At 37.5% G+C, this 19,586-nt stretch overlaps 1 protein-coding gene across 1 annotated transcript in view, besides 1 other annotated feature; it reads right to left on the reverse strand.

The window, feature by feature from the left end:
* SYT10 (synaptotagmin 10) overlaps positions 1-18,571 on the reverse strand; it is a 65,582-nt gene extending 47,011 nt beyond the window's left edge. Inside the window, exons 1-2 of the mRNA NM_198992.4 lie at positions 18,124-18,571; positions 4,890-5,247 (exon numbers count right to left, since the gene is read on the reverse strand). Coding sequence (NP_945343.1) covers positions 4,890-5,247; positions 18,124-18,274 — 509 coding nt within the window. The 5' untranslated portion in view covers positions 18,275-18,571. The remainder of the gene's footprint in view (positions 1-4,889; positions 5,248-18,123) is intronic.
* Positions 17,482-18,298: an enhancer, noted in NCBI's record as "H3K4me1 hESC enhancer chr12:33591665-33592481 (GRCh37/hg19 assembly coordinates)". NCBI's record gives its function as "activates a minimal SCP1, AML or CMV promoter by ChIP-STARR-seq in naive H9 embryonic stem cells {active_cell/tissue: H9 hESC(naive)}" and the evidence as "EXISTENCE:reporter gene assay evidence [ECO:0000049][PMID:30033119]".
* Positions 18,572-19,586: the final 1,015 nt, after the last annotated feature.

The following is a 19,586-nucleotide window of genomic DNA, read 5'->3' on the forward strand; positions in this document are numbered from 1 at the left end:
TCAGCACATATAAGTCAGTGATTTCTTCCCATGTACATTTTCCTGTTTTTGTTTCATGTTCAATTTGTTCTGCTATTACAGTTCCTAATTATTTTCAATAGGTACTTAGAGTCCTAAAGGTGATAAATCTATATAATTCCTCATCCTCAACAAATTATTTTGCCAGTTACTATTCACCTCGTCTTTACGCCATTAATAAATTCAAAGAAAATTGGTTCTCATACTCATCTGTGAGAATACTATCATTAACCTCTTTCTAATAGGAACACAGTGTTATCTCACCACTCATCATCTCGTGTGGCTTTTAAAGATGATGTATTTAAAAAGGCAAAATGAAGTGGAGGATGATCAATCAATCAAAAGCATTCAATTGACACTTATGTGCCTACACAGTGGTGGAATAGGAGGGCATAAAAGTGGGTTACACACGCTTAGATGCTGAAAATTTAGCATCTAGTTTGGAAACAGCTGGAGCTCAATATTAAGATAGAAAATAATTGCTAGATTGTAATTACAGCTTTAAATAATAAAGGATAATAGTTAATAATTGGGCAGAGAAAGTGGACTCTCAGATGCATTTTTCTTAAAGATCTTGTAGTACATAAAAACGAGGTTGTTATTCCACACAAGGAAAGCAGCATGAACAAAAGCACAGAGGCAAAGAGAGTCAGATCTTTAGGAGGATGGTAAAAAGACCAAGTGCCCTTCTAGTGAGCAACCATGGAAGATCAGTAAGATAAACAAGATGAGGTCATTGAATTCATTTATTGATTCTTTCAATTCAGTAAGTTCACTTTGAGTTCCTACAGTGCTTTGTTAAGGCATCAAAACTTAAAGTATTAAAAAAAAAAACTTAAAAAAAAAGCAATATAGAAGTGAATACGGCTGATTTTCTGCCTAAGAAAGCAGCATAGAACTCTATATGTGGGGGTATATGGAACCAAAATGCTAATGGTAGCTTGGTATAATCATAGTATAACAGCTTTAATGACTTTTAAAAGATTTGGACTAGACATGGAATTACTGAAGTGCCACTTAATGTTTTTTTACAAGGGATCTTAGATTTTCCTTTACACATTTTCATGTTTCTTTTTGTTGTTGTTTTCTATTTCCTGATTTTTATTACACTTGAACATAATAAAAATTACAAAGTAGATGTCTTCTCCTACAGTCTGTCTTGTAAAGTGTTGCCAAGTGAATTATCCTAAAACATAACACTTACCCACAGAACTCCTCTGCTACAAATATTTTTTTTTGACAAGAGAGACTCTGAACATGTTGGCCATGATTTCAAGGTTTCACTATACTTCAATTTCAGCTGATTTTATCTTCCATTATTCCTTCACTTTACTCTATTTTTTGATCACAGTACCTTATCTGCTGTTTTCTTAGCAAAATTTCCTACTCCATGATTTTTCAAATAAAATATTTCCATCTAGAATGCACATCCTCTCCCAATTGCCACTTATCTGAATTTCCAGTTTCCTTCAACTCGGCTTAATGGCTCTTCTCCATGCCTTAGCTGGAAATAATGTCTCAATGTTCTGAATTCCACATTCTCCATCACATAGCTGGCACTTGTAATTCCTTATATTGGTATTACATGTATTGTCTCCACATTATATTATAAATTTACAGAAATTGTCACAGATCCTTAGAGTTTTTGGAGTAGAAAGAGTGAAAGATACGTTGACTATACCCAGGATTAAATATATGTTGAATAAGGTTATTGGATGAATAAACAATCAATCAAGATGACACTTGAAGAATATTAGTAATGAAGAAATACACAAATGCCAGCTGGGTTGTTTGGTTGCCTGGCAGGCTGATAGGGCAAAATGTCCACGTACTTGAAAAAGGAGATGATAACTTGAAAAATGTGGGAGTTTCCAGCAATGCTGCTAACTTCTAGGCCCATCAGGATGCTATTTAAATACAGAGACAAGTAAAACTTGAAAGACTATGATGTCTGAGCCAAATTATAAAGGAGTCCCAACAGACTGGAGCTGGGGCATACTAATAAGGTGAGGAAACAAAGTATTAAAGTTAAATTCAGTGTGTGTGTGTGTGTGTGCATCTGTGTGTGTTATGTGTGTGTGTGTGCGTGCCTGTGCATGTAGGTTTGATTTTGCTACATCTCAGTGAAAAGTTGGCATTTGAGCAGAATAATTTGATTTATAATAATGTACCCTTGATCTCTGTGTTCATGTGGACTACCTAATGAACTCAGCAATTTCCTCTTCCTCTCTCTATAAAGGTAATTTCTAGTATGATGAAGTAATTAATGTAGATAAGGGTTTTGAGAACTAGAAATAATCATGTTTTCTGCAAGGAATTCATCCCAAGGCTAAACAAGTTCAAATAATGACTCTAGTCATTCATGATATTCATATACAATTCCAGATTTTTAATTGAGTATGATGAACAGGAAGATGCTGTTATTCTCCAGCCTTCAAACTACCTGTCCTAAGCATACTTTGTAACCAACATATTTAATTGCAGGAAAACTACATCCCTTTGGCGTTTATGCTTAATATGTGTTCATCCATCTGGATAAATTTGAATTCTTACTCTTCCCAGCTGCATGACTTCAGGCAAATTTTTAAATCTCTCTGGGTTTCAGTTAACTCACATGTCATGGGGATAATTAATAATACTTACTTCATGCAGGTTGGTGAAGGATTATCAGGAAGGGTGCCTTGGCATAGTGACAAAATTGCAAGTGCTCAAAATTCTTTTCTTCTTCTTCTTTCCCCAACCACTCATATAAACAATGAAAGTCAGAGGCAGGTGAAATGATTGATATAAAAGTTCTAGCAAAACTCTGAATGTGTGTTGCAGTTTTTCCTCTTACAAAATATCAGATATATACAATCTAACTTTTATGATTTTAAGGTTGAAATTTTTATGTTTTTCTGATTTGTTCAATTTCACATAATTACTGAGAAATTCATAGCTAGCAAAAAGAAGTCTTTGCTCACGTGTTTTCATTCTCCTCTAGCTAGGGATAATCAAATAAGTGGTCTCTATACTCAACAGGTAATATTTTGGAGATAGTATTTTGTTTTTCTGAGGTTCCAAAAAAACATTGATTACCTGAATTTGTCTTCATTGAGTATCCACATATAATCTGTACATATCAACTAAAGAGTTGAATGATTCTGAATGCTAAGCTAATATACATTCACAGTGGTTAGTATTCTTAAAATGTTTTGCAGATTAATTGAAGATTTTTACCTTGAAATTTCTGAGTGTCTTAAGTCTTCGTGGCTATAAGATATCATATGTGGCCAAAGTTTTCCGGGATGGTAGTGATAATCAAGTAAATACATGAGGTAATTTTAAAGCAGTTTTCCCCTATAGGTATAGCGAGACCAATGTCTTGGAAAAAAGGAAGTTCCTCCCAAAGACATTTTTTCCCCTATTTGTAAAACATGTAAAAAAAAGTGGCTTATTGGACAATTATTTTATAGTTCAATAAATATATATAATTCAATAAATATATAGTTCAATAAATATAAAAATTAACATGGATATTTATTGAGTTACATTACATAAAGATCATAAATAAGAAAATTTAAAATGAGCCTAAATGTCATTGCTCAGGAAAACTTGTCAAAATAAACACAAAATATGAGGCATTCCTTAGTTATAAAATTTAAGTAGCCTAGAAAAGTGTAACATGAAAAAGACACTTCCATCCCTCCTCCTTATCTCAAAGTTCCTTATCTCAAAGGTAATAATTATTCTTACTTATCCCTCTGGAATACATTTAAGTAAGAAGTGGATTTATTTGTAGATATAATTCTCCCATTTACACAAAATACATATTGAATAGCCTTTCAATTCTAGTAACCAATATGACCCAGTTTTTCAATTTGATAGATTTCTAAACCCTTAAAAGTATTACCATGTTGGAAAACATGGATGCGTCTTCGGTTTAGAGAGATAAAAAGGTAAGATTAGGAAGTCAATCAGTTTGCAGGAAATAGCAGTTACCTCTCAATAAGAGACCATTGATTTTACCCTGCCCTAGAATAAAACTAGTTGCTACTTTTGGCAACCCGAGAAAAATTGCTAACATGCCATTTGTTTTAAGAACTGATGCCTCTACTTAGCAGAAAAAAATGCCTCTTTATAGGAATCATTTTTTCCTTTACAGTTAATACAATTAGAATATACTGCGGTTAATTATTTTCAACAAAGTTTTGTTGACTTTCCCAGGCTGAGTTAAAATGTATTTCCTTAAGGAAGTCCTCTTCCTCCTCCTTTTAATGTACACTCCTCCATATGCCCATGATATTTGGCCTCTTGTGGAACTTATACTTTGCCCAGTGTAAGAATCTGGTCTACATGAGCTCAAACACAAAATGAAGTTTCATGTTTTTGGTATATGTGTTAAACAGTTGCAGACTAAATATGAATCTGTTAGTTGTGATTGTGAAATTCTAGATGATTTCTGATTGTGTAGAGCCTCCACGATATGCATTTCAAATGGCTTTCTTAATATTTATTGGTCGAATCAAATTAAGTTGGAAGACTACAAGTAGCAGCTATCAACTAATGATATTTCAGTGGAAAGAGTTTAATAATAATCTGTAGTTACACGATTTTACTGAGACCTCACATTCTGCTAAGCCCCTTTCATGGTCCTGCTCCCTATTTGGCTTCTTTGTCCTTAGTTTCTCTCTCTCTGCCCCTATGTACTCTGTCCTACCCTTTCTCTCTTTATTTAATTATCTATTTCCTATGTCTTTCCCATTTCTCCTGTTTCTCTTTTCTCCCAACTAAAGTTTTTCTCTCTTATGAAATTTCACACACACACACACACACACACACACACACACACACGCACACACACCAGTTTTATATATTTAATCTTTCCTTACCGGGTTGATGACGTAGGCTCAGTAATTTGTCTTTGCACACGTGCATGTTTAATTAAATGTTCTTTTAAAGCAGTTTGGACTTCTGCTGGGATGTCAGGGGAAGTGTGGCTGATTTTTATTGCAGGCTCAATAGCTTTTACGGCTGGCTTTTCATTTTCCTTAATTTCTTTTTTCTCTTCAGTCTCAAAAACTTCAGTAGGAGCACTTGAAATGCTCTGTGGAAGCGTAGTGATGTTGGAAGTCACAGGTTTGCTTTTCCAGCATGGCCAACACAGCTTCCAGAAGACAAAAAGTGAGACAACCAACAAGGCCAGTCCACAAAAGCTGACAACGACAGCTAACAGGCTGACTGAAATATCTGGAAAAATTACAATGTAAAAATGATTAATTAATATTGTACATAAAAAAGCAGAAATGGAAAGAATATTTTACATCATAATTGTTATTATTTCCTGATTCAGAATTTCAAAAACTCAATTTTAAGTTATCTTTGTAGGAAGAAAAGGTTAATAATCATTCCTGGAAATTCTCAAAGGAGGTACTTGAAAAGTTCTACCCCAGTAAAAATTCTAATTATATACAGGAAAATTACGATGTATGCATATTATTTCCAAGTACACTATGATGGGTTCAAGATTTTGCAAACAAGGATTGAAAAACTGCAACCTGCCATGAAGCCATGAGGCAAGAAATTCTAAAACTGCACACAATAGGAAACTCTTGTTTGCTTCATCTTTGATCTAAAGATGCAAGCTTCTCATTCTCTAGGCAGAGAATCATATTAAATATTTCTGTAAACGGTTTTCAACAGTATAAATGAGAATAACACATTACTAATAGAGAATGAGACACTATTAGTTACATTTTTCAACCTCCATAGATTCTTTCTGATAATTTTGTATTATTTTTGTTTCTAATTTCTCTTAATTTCTTAAGTCCTAAATTAATTAATGAATTGTGCTATGGCCTGAATTTTTGTATCACTCCCAAAATTCATATGCTGACATCCTAATCCCCAAGGCCATGGTATTAGGAGGTGGGACTTCTAGGGAGGGCATTAGGTCATGAGGGAAGTCTTCATGAGTAGGATTAGTGTTCTTATAAAGTAGGCCAAGGGTGCTCTTTCGCCCTTCTACCATGTGAGGGCATAGCAAGAAGGTGTCATCTATGAACCAGGAAATGGGCCGATGGGACTAGCACAGGCATTCTCCATAGAACTTGACCCTGTACATTTTACAATATAGAGAAGCAGAAAATTTTTGTTTCCTGAAGATGTCAAGCTTTTTCCTCAAAGAAGGGAGAAATTGATGTATCATTTCTTAAGGATGGGGGTGGGTCAAGATTCCATCATAATTACAGTGTTGTAGCTCCTTGCATCCAGAGACAAGGCATGGGAGAAAGAGAATTCTGCTTAATAGAAAACAGTGCAAGAAGTTAGATTAAGTAGAATTTTATCCTGAAAAATAAAACGAAAATTATGCAAACAAGCTTATTGTATTTTATTTATGTTTTGCATTGCTTGCCATAGCAATTATGACTAATCATTAATAGTATTAAAAATGAAATCAAGTGCTTAATGTGTAGCTCTTCATGACATATTTTTCTCCCAATAACAAGCCTTGTTTAACAAAAGAAAAATAACCTATCAAAAGATTAAGTGAGGATCTAGGAGAATTTATAAAGTCATCAAAAAATTTTAAATGACTTTTTCATGTTTGTGATTCATTTAACTATGACATGAAGTACACTATGAGTTAGGATTTAATTCAAAGAAAAATGAGTAATCCCAGAAACATTTTAAATCAAGGTGTTGAAATGAAAATATGCATTTCAGAACTAACATTTTGACTAAGGAGAAGATAGAAGTGAAGGCAAGACTGGAAGAGGAAACACTAGTTAATAGATTACAAGAGCTATCCATGTGAGAGACTAGTGGTTCTGAACCAGGGTTGCTGAAATGGGAAAGAAAAGATTCCAGAGAACATCAAAGCTCTAGTGAAGGAGAGTGAAGATTAAAAAGGACAAGAATGTGACTCAGTTTTGCTCGTACTGAGTTTGAAGTACTTATGGTCATGCAAGTAGAAATTTTGAGTAGGCTATTGGTCATGCATAAATGCAACTTAAATAAATTGCAACTAATTTAACTTCCTTAAATAGTGGGATCTGAATCCATAGAAGATAAATGTTCCTCAACAGAATCCTGAGTACAACAATATTTAAAGAGAGTTTCAAGGCATAAGAAACCTGCACAGAAGAATGGAGAAAAGGAGAAAGAAAGATATGCAAAAAAATCAGGTCAATGGGTATTCACAGAAGCTGGGAGAATATTTTAAGAAATGATAGTGTAAATCATTAAAATAAGTTCAATTAAAACAAGAGTTGAGAAGTGACCATTAACTTTAACAAGTATATCTTTAGTGAATTCTATGAGACCAGTGAAGCAGATGTTGTGTTAACCAGATTACTGTGGATTAAGAAACGACTGGCGGCCAGGCGCGGTGGCTCCCGCCTGTAATCCCAGCACTTTGGGAGGCTGAGACGGGCGGATCACGAGGTCAGAAGATCGACACCATCCTGGCTAAAGCGATGAAACTCCGTCTCTACTAAAAATACAAAAAATTAGCCAGGCGTGGTGGCGGGTGCCTGTAGTCCCAGCTACTTGGGAGGCTGAGGCAGGAGAATGGCGTGAGCCCGGGACGTGGAGCTTGCAGTGAGCCGAGGTTGCGCCACTGCACTCCAGCCTGGGTGACAGAGTGAGACTCTGCTTCAGAAAAAAAAAAAAAAAAAGACTGGCAGTGTGGAAATGGACTCTGTGAGAGTAGATAATTCCTTCAGGAAATTATACCTAGGGAAGGAGGAGAGAGGGAGCAATAACTACAGCAGCACGTGGAGTTGATGAAGGTGTTTTCATTAGGATTTGCAATACTTCAGCATGCTTCAGAATGGTGAGAAGGAATCAGTGGACAAGAATGGATAGGCAATTAAGCGGAATAATTAACAGTGAAGTCCCATAAAAGGTGACAATGGATGAGATCTGAAGCAAAGATCAAAGAATTGGATTGCTTCTTTCTTTGTAAGAAAAAGAGAATAGTTCTGGATGCCAGTAAGGTTATAGGTCTCGAGGCAGGAAGTCAAGTGAATTCTTGTTTATAACTATATTTTTCTCTCCAAAGGAGGAGTTAGGGTTAACTGTCAATTATGTTGGAATATTTGGGAATAGTTTGGGATATTTGAAGAGCATGAGAAAAGTTTGAAATAAGAACTATAGAGAATAGGAGAAACTTGAATAGGAAAACATTAGATGCCTGGTCAGAATATACATTTCTTTCAAAATTGGAGACCAATAAAGTGATACTAGTCTGCCTGGTTTTAAAATCTTCTAAATATTCAGCAGCTTTGGTGTAGGGGCAAAGAGACAAATAAATGCATCCATGCATAAGGTTTTTGGTTTGTTTATTTTTCCAGAAGAATGTGATAGACCTCAAAGGAGAGAGTGTATTGGGCAGATAAAATGATGCATCATAAGTATGACGTCATACTTACTGAAAGAAAATTCAGAGATAAATAAAAAGTTAATAGACTGGAGTTTCTAAATGAGAAAGATGAACTCATAGGAGATTTTGGTTGGGGATCGAAATATTTGGATTTACAATGCTATGGTAGTATTGTTCACCATAATGACAAGGGTTTGAGTATGATCATAAAAGAAAAGAGGTAAGTTGAAGTAGAGAAGATCACCGGAGGAAGGTGGCCAATCACTGGGAGGCCAGGGAGATGAATCTGAATGTCCTGGCTTTTCTACACAGGCTTTCAAGTTACCCATTCCAACGGGCAAACTTGATGACTAGGCTCTCTAGCTCTAATTTTCACTGTCTCCGGATAATTAAAAAGAATCCATTACATAGCATTCATCCTATCATATCTGGAAAGATTAAGAGCTAATGAAATAAACAGAAATTAGATTAGGCTCTGAGATAATTAGGTTTAAAATTGCTCGAACTCTGGTTTGATTACATACACATGCATAAACATTATTCTGCCACTGTCTATATGTCTGTCGGTCTGTCTGACTATATATCTCTAACTAATTTTAGTCAGAAACATTTTACTCTTTTATCATGTTTTAATATCCCAAAATAAAGTGACATAGTTCAGAAAAACTGAGAAAAAGATCACTGTCATCAGAAAATACAGGGAACTTCTAAAATGCGAATTCGTCAGAAACTTTTAGCATAGCAGAACTTTGCTAAAGTCTGTATAACCAGGCCATAACATTTGCATGATCTTGTCCACTGAAACTTATAAATACTGCTAGGTCCAATTACCTACTACCCATGCAGCTAACATGATCATGCAGAAAAGCACAGGCCAAGTGTCCTGTTCTCAATTCCAATTTCTGCATGATCATGCAATTACTACTGCTTGAATTGATATTCTCCTCTGTGTCTATCTGTATCTTTTTAAAAATTTTAAAATTCTAGTTCATTTTTAATTTTTCAAAATGTACAAAATGTACAAAAATGTGATTTCCAATAATTAATCATAAATTAATATAATTTAGTTCATCGGTATTCCAAGCCCTTTGTTTCTTTCCTGCTTCCTGTTGTTGCCTGACCACAGTCCATATTTGCTTATGGCACCATTTCATAGAGAAAGAGGGGGAATAAAACTCAAATCAGCAACTCTTAGTCAAAGATGAAATTTTGGGATTATCTTTGAAGTTAATTTATTTATACTATTCATCTGATATTACCATTATAATAATTAGGGCATGCTTCTGATTTCTGTAACAAGGGACCAAATTAATAGTGACTGAAACAAGATAGTTTATTTCTCTCTCATGTGAAGTGAGACTGTCCCAGCATAAACAGGCCACGGCAGATTTATCAACTCTAAGGTGCCTGGAATTCTGGTTTGTTTTACATTTTTGCTCTACTATTCAAAGGTCTTTGCTTCTCTTTGAAGTCCAAGATGGCAAGCTACTACGTCCATATTTCAGGCAGCTGGATGGAAGAAGAAGATGGAAAAAGGGAAGGTGAGGGTATGTCATTTCATTTTAAAAGTACAAATTTGAAGTTGTGCACATCATTGCTAACTTCCCAAGGGTCAGGACTTAGTCATGTGGCTATACCAAACTGGAAAGAGACTGAAAAATGCTCTTTTAAAATTTTTTATGCTGCCATATTCTTAAGAAAAATAAGAGATCCTATTGCTGTGAAGTAGAAGCGGGAGATGAATACTGGGAAGCAACTAGTAGTCACTTTCTCATCTATAAATCTAATACATAATATCATCAATCAACAACAATCCTTGCACATTGCCTCTTATAATGTCCATTTTAAATTTATTGACCTTTGCCTTTCTCTTGAATTTCAATAAATGATAACAATTACATTAATTGTAATTATTTAATTTAATTTAATATTTAATCCATTATAAAATACATACTTTAAAACATTTTGCATTTTTGAAATCAGAATGTTATCTTAGTATTGACGGCTTGTTACAATAGCTAACAGCTAAGCAGTAATTGTGTCATAATTTTTGTTATTTGTGTATGCGCTAAAGCAAAAGCATCAGCATCAAAATTCATAGAATAAGTCCAAGTGGCTTATAAGAGAATATTGAAGAAAATAGTGAAGCACATCCTTCAACCTTATAAGTCAAATTTTTGGAAATGGGTGGTGAAGGTGGTGAGTCAGATGTATTTAGAAACACTGCCAACATCCCACATATTTGCACAGTTAGCTTTAGAGCACAGTACCCTTGGCCTGTATATCTTTTATGAATTATGTTAAGAAAAAATGCATCATTAACACTTTTTATGGCATAGAATATGATAATGTGTGGAAAAACAAGGACATCATTAATTCTGAATCAAAAAGCCACTCAGAAGAATCAGACTCAGAATTTTAGTTTTAAAATTACTTTAACCTATTTCTTTTATGTTTTCCTTCCTATATTTGTGTCAGAGTGATATAAGATTTCTTTAAAAGTCTAAGTTTTAAAAGAAGTATTTCTATACATATAAAATAAAAATTCCATGTGATTAAAAAGCATTGTGCCATAGTTTATTTGGCAACATTCTCTTTCCTTTCTTGGTGCCACATAAAATAATGGTGCATCTTATAATCAAAGGCATCTTCGATTTGATAAAACGTAGTACCAAATATGGTATTCAAATATCTAAATTTATTAAAAAGCTTTACATATGCTCATAATTGAGTAAATTATTTATAATTGGTGACTGTATATTACTCATATATTTACATTAACTTGAACATCACACATAGCATCACATACATTTAATTAATGGCTCTAGTACACTTAATGCTTGGCACAGTGGCTTTCACATAGTAAGCGCTCAATAAATATTGCTTGAATAAAAGCATGATGTTAAAACCACTTCTCAGGTACATTAACAGCTTATATTGTAAAATATTTGAAATTATAGGCTCTGAATATTGTTTTGTCCATTAGTCCTATAAATCCATGACTACTAAAACATCACTAAGGGAATAATATTAATAAATACTGAAGAGAAAACAATAGTCCTTGTTTAATTAAGACAATATTGTGGTATGGACAAATTGACATTTACAAGGTTTTAAAAATTGACTGTCATGTTATCTAGTCAACAATGGAATAATAAATTAGACAGTAGATCATAACATACATCAAGGTCCATCTAAGGAAAAAAAGTCATTAATATCGGTTCCTTTCTATTCCCCTTAGGATGATTCCCCCCTTCTGGCTCCAAGCCCATTACAGCACAATTCCATAAAGAAACAAACGTGTAAAGAGTTTTATTAATTTCTGGTAATAAACCCATAAGAGCTTCTACTTTTTTTCCCCAATAGTCTATGTGAGGCATGTTGATGCCAGCTCTTATAGCTTCAGTGACTACTTAGGATGTATTTAACATTATGAAGAAAAAGAAAATTACCCTATAAAATAATAAAAGAAGCCATCTCTTTAGTCAGGAATTCTGTTTGTAAACTTGGTCAGTGTTAGATATTCCACCAACAGAGGAAATTGGCATTGTGCCAGTTAGACAAAAGACCTATAATAATAACACTCCTTATCTGAAGGTTCAGTTTGATAGATTCATACTAATGATGCCCTGAGATTTTTGAGTGGGTGACTCTCAGCTCTTTTTCAGTCACATTTTGTCTCCAATGCCTCATAGTACTGAATTTTAATAGTATACACTGTTAATTACTTCACTTGACCAAAATATGGTAGGAAAATACAGCACACAAGATTTTAATGAATTATTTTTTCTAATTACAAATTAACAAAAACAATGTAACTGGTAATTTAATATCTGTTTTCACTACAGACTAATTTATAAACATATGAAAGGAACTATATTTAGGATTATATGCGTTCAAAGTCGTGCATTTCAAACACACTAAAAATCTTTTATGTGATTTTACAGTTGACACAAATCAATTATATTTGGCCAAGAATATGTAAACACCTACTCGTGTACACTGAAGTACACATGTGTGCATAGTCAAGTAAGAAAAATGAAAAACACTGCTTGTTATATTTGGATGATAGAAAATCTAATAGAAAGGTTTGAGATATGGGTCATAATTGCACACTAAGAAATTTTATTGGCCAGTAATTATAGCCAATAATGTAATAATATTAACAGCTTATCTTCACAGACATTTTTTCCAATGCCCTTCAGCGCCAAGGACGCCCCCAGAATCTCCTCTTCCTATTCCTACTCTTTGTTAAACCTAGGCTAAAATCTAAGAAGCCCTGGTTTCTTAGCCTATCTCCATCACTAACTAGTGATGATTTGAAGGGAGGTTAAATTTCTTTGCCTTAGTTTTCACATCTGCAAAGTGATGATTCCTACTTTCAACTGGAATGATTAACAGCAATTTGAATCATGAGATAGTTACTTTTCTCCTGCCACTTTCTACTTAGCACACTAACATGCTTTCCTTTTACTGCCATACATGAATATATTGAACAGAGATTCTAGAACTTGTAGACTCAGTGCTTTATGCAACACTTACAAATTTAGCCATGGAATTACAGATCCAGTTGAACACACTCTGAAGAAAATCAATGGATACCTATATCAAGTTCAGTTGCTTTTTCATGAGTATATTGCTGACTGAATTCTAGCTTTTTAATGTTGTAAGTGCTCTAATTTCTGCTATTATCATAAACTAGATATTTTGTATGTCTATATAGGATATTGTATTAGATACTGGTGACACAAAAATACAGATGTATACAATTTAGTTGCAGAAGAGATTTGGAGGTTATTAAGTAAGACTCATTATCTTACAAATAATAAAGTTGAAGCTTCTTGATAATAAATCCCTTGATTCATTCATTCATTTAAAAAATATTAATTGGGCCAGGTGCAGTAGCTCACGCCTGTAATCTCAGCACTTTGGGATGCAGAAGTGGGCGGATCACCTGAGGTCGGGAGTTGGAGACCAGCCCGGCCAACATGGAGAAAACCCCCGACTCTACTAAAAATACAAAATTAGCTGGGCGTGGTGGCACATGCCTGTAATCCCAGCTACTTGGGAGGCTGAGGCAGGAGAATCGCTTGAACTTGGGAGGCGGAGGTTGTGATGAGCTGAGATCCCGCCATTGCACTCCAGCCTGGGCAACAACAGTGAACCTCCATCTCAAAAAAATAAAATAAAAATAGTAAATAAATAAAGTAGCTAGTATGAACCACAGATTTTTCAAGGCACTGAAGATAAAACAATAAACAAGCCCCTGACCTCAAAGAGCTGACATGCTATTGACTTAATGTGTACAACGTTAGTGGAATAAAATGTAGATTGGGAAGAATATAATCACATGTTCAAAATAGAAATGATTTTCATTGGCATTGGAAATTACATTAAACATTTATGGTAATGATTGTCTTCTGCCAGAATTTTGTATTTAAAAAAGCTTGTAAATGAATGCAGATGCATCTCAAACAATTACCAATTTTTTCAAAAAGCCAGTATTACAGTAATGACTGTTTTTTTAAAAATGTGATTTGAGCTTGGTATACAAAATCATTCATAAGAATTAGATGTCAGAGACTCACAGTTCATAGAAAAAGGAAATACAGCTTTTAATTTGTCACAAAGGAAAAAGAAAAGGTTAAAGCAAAAAGAAATTCCTGCCAATACTGCTAACATACTGGGATTTAAGAAGAATAAATGTTTGCTGAGATCTTCTTGGCTTTGAAGATAGGTCTCCATTTGCATTTGAAGTAAATCAGACCAAGCACAAGGTGTATTGATGATCATGTGACAATGAGACTAGACATAGTAGAAGTTGGCCACTCTTCAGTGGAGTGACAATGTGGAGGAAGGAAAAATATCCTCTTATATATTCTTCTTCAAACAGGCCTATCATTCTGAATTCACTGTGGCTCCATTATTCTTTTATAGACCTACAAGTCTCAAGGAAAAAATTCTACTGATAATATGTTTGTGAATTGGAATTCTTTATACAATCACTAGGATGTGTAAAACCCTGTTATGGTGATTAAAAAATGATAACTCAATTAATTGGGTAGTCATTTGCTTTGTCCCTCTACTATGAAGTCCCTCTACTAATTTTAAACCTTTATCATAGACCCACTATGCCTTGATCTTAGAGGGAAATTATGATGTAATTCTTATAATTTTACTTAACTATCCCTTTTCTTGTCAGTTAAGTACTTTAATAAAATTATTTCCCATATACCTACTTTTATCCCTACCTCTAAGAAACTGAAGAACATATGTATGAATTTAGAAGAATTTGTCTAAATTTTTATTTTAGAATTTTTAGTCCCAAATTAAAATTGTGTAAACATGCAAAATTAGAACATTGATGAATGAAATGCTTATGAAAATCTTTAAATTAAGCTTAGAGCTATACAATTGTGATGTGAGCTCAAGTGACTGTGAGCTTAAGTGGGATTGATTAGCTGTGATTTATGACGTCTGCCTTTTAAGCAACATAGGTTCCTTGAAATTGATGAGCATTTGAGCAGCAATTAAGGAGTAATCAGAAATTAAGCTAAATCCAGTTTAAAAACGATTATATATATTCAGTCACAGTATGCCTGAAAAATAACTTTTGGGTCCAATATGTTGCTTTGTATTTTCCCTAAGCATTCTAATATTAAATCATATTGTGCATTGAGATTAATTTAGTGGGTGACATATCTATTTCGGGAGAAAGAGAGAATCCATGGTAAAAAGACTCAAAATATCTGATATTCTAAAAAGTGCACGTGGTGAACTTTCTAGAATATTAGTAATGCTGGCACATATAATGACTCCGATAAACTACGCCAAAAGAGTAAATGAACTTGTGTTGGCAACTTTAGTGTAAGTCTTCACCAATTTTATTAAAGTATGAGATCAGTCATGTTGTGATCATATTGTGACTGTGAGATCCTCAATGGCAACAATACTGCTGCTGCTTCTGCTACTGCTGATATGGTAAAAATAATGGTGATACTTGCACTTCACTGGCATTTGCAAAACCCGTAAGATAATATCTTACATATATACATGATTTGTAGCTCCCTTCATGTAGAATGATTTTAACTGGAATTACCTGAATTTCTCTCCCACTATCTCTATGTGAAGGAATTAAAAATATACACAATTTTGGAGCTTGTAATTATCACTGTAATGTTAGAACAACCAATACCATCTGGGCAGTGCTGATTAACTTTCAAAGTAAATAAGCACTGTGCCATTCAACATTGTTGATGTCTTCCTACCAAAAATGGCCTTCTCATTAAACGATGAGTAGAAGGATCACTGGAAGTGCTTTATTTAGGAACCTATAATAACAAGCATGAGAGCACAAGTTATAAGAAAATCTACTTTAAAGAACAGTGTGACGCTGGGTGGCTAAGAAATATAATTAAATATTTGGCAAACAATCTTTAAATCCACTTCATAGATATCTATTAACTTTGAGTGTCTATTTGCAGATTAAAGTATTTTACTTCTAACTGTTGCTTGGATTCGCAAATGAAAAACGTATAGCAATCTTGTCTTTATATGTCATACACAACTTAGTAGAATATCTTTCCTAGTAATAGCCAATAAATATGTGTGTTCCTATATTATAAATCGAATACCCCACTTGTATATATTATGTAGTCTATTTTGCCTCTTAAGGGGAGGAAAATATTCTTGCAATTGTTTTAGACTAATTTTTCTCACTTTTTATTCCCAAGGGGAAAAGTTCAAAAGGAATTCAGACTACAACTACTTCTTGCAGTGATTAGGAAAAACTGAGAACTATTTCTATAATTCATATACTATAGTTTATCTGAAGCTGATACAGTTGTGCATTTTGGACAGATTTCAGAGCTGGGATTTGGTTTCTAACTTCCACATATTTTCCTCATTACCAGCCAGTCTGAGACCCGGGAAACCACTATTTGGTGTGTGATCACAAAAGGGCAGGAAAGAGGAAAATCAGTAGTTTTATTTACAGCATCAACTGTTCAATTACCAAAGCACAATCTTCAAACTTAAATACTCTCATTTCGTCCAGTGTAGCCCCTTCTCTGAGTGTTACCTTTAGCAAGTGGGTCACTAAAGACGTTTCAGAAAAGCTTATCTAATATCACCACAGAGGACTCTGAGGTCACACTATTCTGGTCTTTACCTCATACTTAGCAACGATACGCACGACACAGAATACAACATGCTCACACAGTGCCTTCCACTGAGTTTCATACACTCCTAGGAATTTAACACCTACTGAACGAATGGAAATGATTCTCAGTTGTGTTTATACACTGAGAAAATTTTAAAGTTTCCCTATCCAGGGTCCAAGCAGCGGCATATCTTCAAGCTCTGCCAAGTGCAGACAGAGCCCCCTTGGCTCACGTTGCCGTGGATCAGAGAATACCAAACCCTGCAGCTACCCATGTGAACGATGGAATGTAAAAGCTAAACTAAACCCATTCCCACTCCCCGCTTGGCTTTGACGCAGGGGTGGTGGTGGAGAGGATTCACTAAGTGTGCCCCGCTTTGCTCCCTCCCAGCACGCAGGGCTCCATGTTGTCCTGAGCTTGGCTGTCCAGCTCTTGTTGCCCTGACTACCTTCAACTCTTAAAATCCCGCCAGGAGATCAAAATGACAGGAAAAGCAAAGGGAAAGAACCTAGAGAAGGAATGGCAACCTTCCAGTCGAAAATCCCCAAAGCAGTGTTTTTTGACTCCTAGTGCAACAAGTGACCCTCTCAAGCGGCTCTTGAAACCACGCAGCCCGCAACTCGGGGATCCACCTCGCGTGCGCCCGAGGAGCACAGCAGGCTGGACACACCAACCTTTTCCCCAACCGTGACCCAAACAGTGGCTTGGATTCGATCCTTTCCACCCCCAAGCCTTGAGGAAAATCCACTTGAGACTTTTTTCCATCTCCAGATTTCCGACGGTCGATATCCTCCTGCATCCAGCCCATTTCCTAGTTTCCTGAAGGGTAGGGAGGACGTCTGTGAGTTGGATGTCTGAGAGCGTGCGTGTGCTAGGGATTTTAAACGTCTCCCCTCTCTTCCACTTCTTCGATATGTGCTCTGAGCTTTAGGTGTCGCCTCACAAATGGGATCAATAATCCTTGTTTTACCAACTTTGTCATGAAACCCTAGAAAATCATATATATTAAAAGGGCTTTAGAAATTGTCAGGTGCCCGACAGGTTGCAGCCGCGGGTTACCTCGGAGGCCAAGGCAGCCACCTCTGCAAGGGAGTTCTGCGTCCAAGCATGGCTTGTCCGTCCCGCCTGGCCCCCATCAACAAGGCCGGGACCAGCGGCCGGTGGAACGAGCGAGAGCAGCCCTAGTCCCACAGGTGAGCCGCCCCCACAAGCAGCCAAGCCGCGAGCCGTCCCGGCGCCGTCACCGCCCGCACTCACTTCTCCACTCCGGGAGGGAGATGGGAGGCGTGGGAGAACGCGGAGAGGCGCGGCGAGGCTGGGAGCGGGAGACGGCGCCGGGAGGCGGGAAGCGGACCAGAGAATGGGAGAAGCCCGGCAGGTGGACAGGAGGAAACAAAACCCAAACGCCCCACCCTCGAAGTCGTCAGGAGCTGAGCGAAGGAAGGAGCGAGGTAGGAAAGCGTGGCGCCCCAAATATGCCGCGGGAGCGGCGCGGGAGGCGCAGAACCCCGGAGCTTGCAGCCTAGCGCGCGGGGTCCCAGCGGAGCGCGAGGACGCGAGCGGAGCCCTCCCGGTTACCTGTGCTGCTTCCGCCCTGGCTGCCCCTGTCCCGAGGGAAGATGCCCGAGCACTTCTCCCACTCCACCTGGCCGGCGAAGCACAGCTCGGTGACGATGTGCAGAGCCTTCTGGCACAGACTGTTCACTCCGTCCTCCTTGTGGAAACTCATCGTTTGGCTTTTCTTTCGTTTTCTCTTTTTTTCCCAGTTAGCCGTCTTTTCCTCTTCCCGTACCTCTAACCCCTCTGGCGCCCTAAGCCATAGTCCGCCCGCGGTGACTTTGGCTGGAGATTGCGCCGCTGAGAGCCGGCAACTCTTAGGAGCCCCACGTTGGCCCCATGGCGGGAGCGGAGGGCGTAGGGGAAGGAGAGGCGCGCGAGGAGGCTGCGGCTGCCGCGAGGTTTGCGCCAACTCTCCCGCCGCGCGAGCGAGCCGAGGCGCGCTGGAACTAGAGACCCGGCATGGAGTGCTGAGGGGAGGGGGGAGCCGTAAAAAAGCCAAAGCAAGCCCTCGACTCGCAAGCACGCCCCCCTCCTCTCCCCAGCGCACTGGTGTTTCTGGCGGGTGCCTGGCGGCGACGCGTCCAATCGCAGCCCGGCGCGGGCGCTAGGTGACAGGCGGCGGAGCGCGCAGACCCGGCTCCCCGCGTCCTCTGAAGAAGGGACTCGCGAGGGAGGGAGGGAGGGAGGGCGGGCGGCCCGGCGCCCCTGCCGAGGCCGGGGATGCTCATCGTTGCCCAGAGTTGGCCCGAGGAGCCCTCTCCGTTTTCCCAATACTTTTCCCTGCATCAGTGCAGCCATCCCCGCCGCCTTTGTCTCTCCAACTTTTCCACGGATGTATTCTACTTTCTGTGCTATCTGCTTCTGCCCTTCTGGAAAAGTCATCCCAATCGAAGAAAAACTGAAAAAGTTAATTAGAAAAAAGAATGCGTGAATAAGCAAACCCTCTTAGGTAGATCACAAAATAAAATGTTATTTGTACTAATAATCAGATAAGATTCTGTCGATTAATCCGTAATTGGCGATTGAGAATGCACAACTTGACTCCCTCCATCTCCTTTCTTAGCGACTTAAAACAAGACATGGGTGTTAAAGGGAACAGGATTAAGTTCAAATCTGTCACACATCTCAGCCTAACCTTGAAGTTGTTTTCAGGTCTTGGCGATCCTCCTACTTCAGCCTCCCTAGTAGCTAGGACTCCAGGGACTCCAGGCGCTATTTTTTTTTTTTAAACTTATTGTAAAGACAAGGATCTCACTATGGTGCCCTGGCTGGTCTCGAACTCCTGGGCTCAATCAATCCTACCGCCTTAGCTTCCCAAAATGCTGGCACTAGCCACCACGGCCGGCCTGCTTTCGGGTCTTTGCCTGAGTCTGTAAAATGGGAGATTTGGACTCGGATGTCTTAAGCTCACCTGTTTTTATAATTCTTTAATGCAAATGGGTGCAAATCAGTAGAACTAAAGCGACAAAATAATAAACATG

Source organism: Homo sapiens, chromosome 12, assembly GCF_000001405.40.
Source record: "Homo sapiens chromosome 12, GRCh38.p14 Primary Assembly".
In the NCBI taxonomy this organism is placed as follows: domain Eukaryota; kingdom Metazoa; phylum Chordata; class Mammalia; order Primates; family Hominidae; genus Homo; species Homo sapiens.